General features: G+C 44.5%; 1 annotated feature.

Annotated features, from left to right (window-relative positions):
• Positions 1,193-1,252: an enhancer, noted in NCBI's record as "active region_16541". NCBI's record gives its function as "activates an Ori minimal core promoter by ATAC-STARR-seq in GM12878 lymphoblastoid cells {active_cell/tissue: GM12878}" and the evidence as "EXISTENCE:reporter gene assay evidence [ECO:0000049][PMID:35858748]".

Here is a 6,523-nt window from a genome sequence, read left to right on the forward strand (position 1 = left end):
CCTGGAACGTGTAGAGGTGACCTTATTCGGAGAAAGGGTCTTTGCAGATGTGACGAAATTAAGGATTCGTGATGAGACCATTATCCTGTGGGCCCTACATCACTGCATAGGAGTGACGACAAAGCCATGTGACTTGAGAGGCAGAGGTTGGAACCACATGGCCACAAACCCAAGAACACCCAGTACTACCAGAAGCTGGAAGAGGCAGGAATAGATTCTCAGTAGAGACTCTGGTGGAACAGGGCCCTGCCAGCAGCTCGGTTTTGGACTTCTGGCTCCAGAACTGCGAAAGAAGACATTTCTATTGTTCTAAGCCACCCAGTTTGCATCATTTGTTACAGAAGCCCCAGGAAACTAACCCACAAGATGACAAGGAAAGATTCACCATTCTATTTGACAGTCACTCCCTAACCTTCCCTGCGTAGAATCCGACTTCCCCTCCCATCCTCCTTAGTCTCCTGCCTCGGGTGCTTTTGCCACTACTCACCCCTTTCCTTTCCTTCCTCCCAGCCAGGCCCCGCCCCAGTGCTCCAGGGCTGAGCTGGCTGGCTGGAAAGAGCTCCGGAGGTAGAGCTCCTTCTTTACCCTGTCCCCAGCCTCCTCCACACCTCTGGCTTCTGTGCCAGACAGAACTACTATTTGTTGGCCATGTTTCTCCACTTGAATGAATTCCAAGCCCTTGGAGGCAAAAGCCTATTACTACCCCCAAGTCTTTTGTTCAAAGCCAGGCTCAAAACAAAGATTCGAATGTATAAAAGGTAACTGATAAATATTGGCTAATTGATTAATAATTTTTAATTGGCTATTATTACTAATAACAACCATTGATAGAGGATTTACCAGCCACTATACTAGAAACATCAAAGAATCAGAATGATAGTAATGACCATTATAACTAATGAGCAGTTATCATGTGCCAAGTACTGTGCTAAGCACTAGAAGTGTATCATTTAATCCTCACCATCATATTATTATTATTATCTCCTTTTTATAAACGAATAAGCCAGGCTAAGAGAGATTACGGAACTTGCTTAGTGTCATCCAACTAGCAAGCCTCTGAGCAAAATTCAAGTCCAAATCAGACAGGCTTTCCAAGCTGTGCTCTAAGTAGGGTATTTTGGGGGTAAAAAAAAAAATCATACTCTTCTAGATGGTCATTTCCTTGGCCACTGTCTTAAAGCACCTCAGTTTCTCAAACATTCGGGGCCGTCCTTAAACAATGAGTCCAGGTTTACCAGTAAGATGTCTGAGAGTCACAATTCCAGGACCCGAAATCAACCTAATTGGCCACTGGGTGGCACCAAAAAGTGTGTTTGAGACACAGAAGCCAGCACGGCAGGGCGGTTTCCAGCTCTGTGGGATTCCTAAAGGTGAGCTGTGTGCAAAGGAGGAACCAGAACCACCCAGAAGGAATCAAGCCAAGGTTCAAAGAAACGGATTAGAGAACATGTTCCCTCGGGTGTCTGATGCTGATAGAAAAAGATAGCAGCAAATCCACATGCCTGTATGTCAGCTAGAAATCATAATCCTGAGGAATGCAGACTATTTAAATACATCTGTTTACCAGGAGCACAGAAATCCCTGCGGGTGCCCCAAGGAAGGAAAAATTACAGGCACCATTGCCAACAGCGAGGATGTCCAAACACCTTAACAAGTCCTTATTGAAACGGCAGCTCTTAAATGATTCAAATGCTTCTTAGCCAAAACGCATAGCAACAGCCATAAATAACACTATAATTAACATCACATGCAGAGCAAGGGAGACTTTGAAAATATTTCCTTTAACATCTCAAAGGAATCATAGATATGCTGCCCTGTAAATGAGGACATTGTCAAATTATTTATCTTGAGCCAGCTGCGAATTCTCCACGTTGTAAAACATCTGCAGATTGCTATGTGCTTAGTAGGAAGAAGGATAGCTGATGGGGCAGCTGCATTCGTGGAGACCTGGCTATGGTGCAAGTTGCCACGTCCTGCACCACTGTTACTCCAAGCGTGGGACCACCCAATGCTGCGCATTGCAAACTGTGTGCTGCCACTCCACAAGCAGACAAGTGCGGAATGTGAAGATGATCATTAGAAATGTGTATAGCAATTCGACATCGCCATAATATCCAGGGCCAGAATAACCTGTTCAACAGAGCTGGACCCATCAGGATGTTGCCAACTTGTTGGTGATTCGTTTATGGCAAGGGCTGTGAACTAGTCCTGCCAGGTAAGCACTTACCAGTCTGAAACAGATTAGAAATTCAGTCAAACGGGCCCTCCGCCATGGGAGTTTGAGAAACACAACCCTAGGAATGTAAGGCAGATGACTCCCACCTTGACCATCCAGTTCCACAGCCTTAGACAAGGAGTCTAGGAGCTATGGGTGTGGGCTTAGCAGACGGGAAGAAGGAGATGCAGTCTCCTCTATTAATTACCAGCTGTGTGGACTGAGGCATGTTACCTAAACTTCCAGGTCTGTACAAAAATGTAGTTTATAGTATGTGCTTCATAGAGAGGTTGTAAGAATAATAGGAAACAAGATGGGTGTGGTGAGACAGTGCTCAGATTGTTTTCATACCTCTTTCTCAATCTCTCCTTCAATCTCTCTATACATCTTGAGAGGGTTTTTAAAATAAAGCCTTCCTTACCCCCAAGGAAATAGCGTTCTCAATACCATCATGGGGTTCTTTATGCCCGAAGCATAAAGAACATCAAGTTCGCCTACGAAGGGAGGAGAGAATTCTAGAATAATGAACAAAAGAGAAAAGAGGTGGGGGGAAGGAGGTGAGGCGGAGAGTAAAAATGGAAGGAAGGATTGTTCTTGGACAAAAGGACAAAAAGAAGTCTTGAGGCCAGCACGGTGGCTCACGCCTGTAATCCCAGTACTTTGGGAGGTCAAGGCGGGCAGATTGCTTGAGCCCAGGAGTTCAAGACCAGCCTGGGCAACCTAGCAAGACCCTGTCTCAAAAAGCCAACCAACCAATGAACAAACAAAAAATCTTGAGACCTGACAGGAGAAGCAACAAAGGACAAGTGAAGTGCATGGAGGGCAGAGGGACAAGAGCTTGATGCCCATTCTAGAAGAAGGTTCTAGTAGAAGATAGCCATCACCCCAGAAGAACAGGAAGAGTGCACAGGCCTGGAGCTCCCAGGAGCAGTCTGGTGGAGTGCTCAGAGCCACAGGCACCCACCTCTCCTCACTTGCCCAGGGCTGTGCCAATATTCCTTCTTTCTGTTCTTGGGGAGACCTTGACTTTGGCAGCAGTGATACCCTGCGCAGATGAGGTGTTGTCCAGACACAGCACCCGCTGTCTCCATCTGATGCTGTCATTCAATAAATGATTGATAGCTAAATACCAACTATGTGTCAGGCACTGTTCCAACACTGGCGATCCAGCAGGCAACACAACGTGATCTCTGCTGCCGTGAAGTTCATCGTCTAGAGGCAATGGGGTAGAAAATGCCAAATAAATGACAATTCCCCCTACCGGGAACAGTGGCATACTGTACCTTGCTTCAGCATAGACACTGTGCTGTATGAATATTTAACACTACATTCCAGGGCAGGGCTTCTTATGCTGAGACCTGCAGAGAACATTCAGGGGAGTTCATGAACTCGGAGGGGTGAAAGAATTATGTATTTATTTTTATTCACCTCTAACTAAAATTTACCATTTCCTTCAAATATGAATGCAGAAAACCGCAGAGGTTCCCATGACTTTAAGAACTACAAATTAGAGATTTTGCATATCACATTACAACTGTTGCAGATTCGTTGAAATATTTATGCTCATGACTACTCCAAATTTATGGTAGTTCTGAGACCTGCCACCAGACCTTAATATTTAATGCGTTAATAAAGAAACACATGTATTATTACATCGCATGTATTTGTTTTTTAAAATTTTGATAGCTACTATATATTTCAGTATAATTGGTTTCCTCTTATGTATTTTTAATTCCTTTATAAACAGTATTCTGGGAAGGCATCTGTGGGTTTTACTAGCAGTCCAAAGGGGTCCAGGCACAGAAAAGATTAAGAACCTCCATTCTAGGGCCTGCTGTTGGTTAACATTTGAAGGGCTTAATCAGAGATTCACCATCACAGAACTGTTAGCACATGAAAGACTCCATTTAGGCACTCCCACCCCAGAGCACTGGCAGCTCTTCCAATCTGACTATCCTGATTCATGCTAGAGGGCTGAAAAGTTAGCAACAGGGATAATAAAAGCCATTTTTCACTGGTGACATGAGTGGTGCTCAACACGTGTAGAAAGGATGGAAATATTATCTAGGTGTACATACCCTTACATGAACAGGAATACAAGAAATTAGTAAGCCCAGCAGCTAAACCCTCTTGAGAGAAACACTAGGCCTGGCACTCTGATTTGACCCTGTGTTCTGATACTTGTAGCAGGATTCCAAGAGGACAGCTCAGCTATCTTGCCACTCTTGTTTATAATGGCACTTCACCTATTTCCAGTTGAAGCTTTCATGTAAGATATTATGGAAGCCCTTGAGAAACTGAGGCTGGAGCTTCCATAAACCAACAGAACAAGTGGGTCTGACCATTTCTGTGTGTGCTTTGCCACTCCATACTTGTCTGTGTGGCAGAATTCCTCCTGAGACCTGCTTTCCTTGTAGCATACTAGCTGGTAGCCTGGTGGTGGGGAGGAGATTGTGAAACTAAATGGAGACCGCCCAAATGAGAACATGCAGAGACTATTTATTCGGACCTTGCTAGAGCAAAGAAGGCAGCTTCCATCACTTGCATTTGGCAGAGACTCCAAGGTAGGCAGGGCAGTAGGAAAGCTTCAGAGTAGAAAAAAGCCAAGCTTCAGGGGCTCTCTGATTACCGGGAAGCTGGGGACAGGCTTGCTAGAAATGGGGCTTCCTATGGGGTGGGTTTGAGGAGCATATTTGACTCTCAACAGGGGCAAGAAATAGAGAAGTTAGCAGTCATTGAAGAAGCCCTGAGCACTCTGGGCCGATTGCTACAGAGGTGTTGGTTTGGCTCCCAGGACTGATTGCTGCAGAGGTTGTAGGTCAGGATCATATTGTCATATGTGGCTTGGCCATTGTATACTCAGTCTGTCAGGACCTACAGATCTCAGCTATGTCTTGCAGTGAGATGTTAAGGATGTCTACCAAAAATAACCTCAGAAAGGCCCAGATGGCAAAGATCCATTCACAAAAGGCATGCTTGTACAGAGGTATCTCAAGCCTAATAAAGGTCTTGGGTACCCTGTAGGGTAGTGTTGTGCCGGCTCCTCATCCTTGTATGTGGAGCAACTCTAGAGAATAAGCTTACTCCCCTGAGGTGATGCTGTGGTTGATGATAGCTCCTCTCACAGCTAACACTGGACACAGTGCCTGACCCATTGTAAGCACTTAGTAAAACATAGCTATTGGTTTTGGGGGATTTTTTATTTATTTATGAAGAGGTAGAATTTTGCCAAGGAAATAGAACCTATGTCAGTGCTTCTCAACCAGAAACAATTCTGTCCTCCAGAGAACATTTGCCAATGACTAGAGACAATTTTTTGATTGTCACAGCTGGGGCCCACGATGCTACTACATCTAGTGGGTAGAGGCCAGGGATGCTGCCAAACATCCGACAATGCACATCTTACAAAGTTCCCACGACAAAGAATTATCTAGTCCTAAATGTCAATCATGCCCAGGTTGCCTATCCATGGAGACGAATGGAGGAGGAAATGAATAACAGAAGGATTCTCTGGTGTCAGGACAGCATAGTGATCCAGAGAGTAAATCTGGATTAAGGGCGGGACTTGGACCCTGGCTCTGCAACTTCCTGATGAGCAGGACCAAGTTATTAATACTTAACTCCTCTAATAGCAATACGTCATTCATAGGATCTACTATGAACTGACCTAAGTCAGTTTTATCACACACGTTTCTTAGGTTCCTTCGGGTAGAATGGGTAACCTCAGAAGTTCAAGATGGGTGAGAGTTGGGGACCCTTTCTCTACAAGCTGGCTATCAGGTTAAAAAGGAAGGAAATTTCAAAATTTTGCCATGTATATAGACATGTATTAGCAACCAAACCCAAAAGGAATCACAGTACCTGTTCTGTAAGCTCCACAATGTCCCAGCTCTCTGCCCCTTGACTGCCTGAAGCCTCATTTGCATGGAAGAGTCCTAGGAGGCAGACAACACTGACAGCAAGGCAGGATTCTGCTAATGTTACAACTGGCATCCAACACCAGATCTTCTTGCTTACTCGTGGCTGGACACCAGGCAGGTAAAGGAGTTCGCCTCCTGAGTTATTTCCATGGACTCAGGCCATAGGTGTCTCTGGATCTTTATACCCAACTCATATAAGGGTAGAGAATATTTCTAAAATATTTTATCCAGACCAAATAAATATCTTCAAGATCTTTATCTCAACTTTGAAAACCCATTTCTAACGCTTGCCATGCTATTTAACAAGACACTGATTTCACCAGTCTAGAAATATTTCTGACATTCTCTAAGCTAATTGGCAATGTATCTGATGTTAATAGAAATGCAT

The sequence above is a fragment of the Homo sapiens genome, chromosome 2, assembly GCF_000001405.40.
Source record: "Homo sapiens chromosome 2, GRCh38.p14 Primary Assembly".
Classification (NCBI taxonomy): Eukaryota; Metazoa; Chordata; class Mammalia; order Primates; family Hominidae; genus Homo; species Homo sapiens.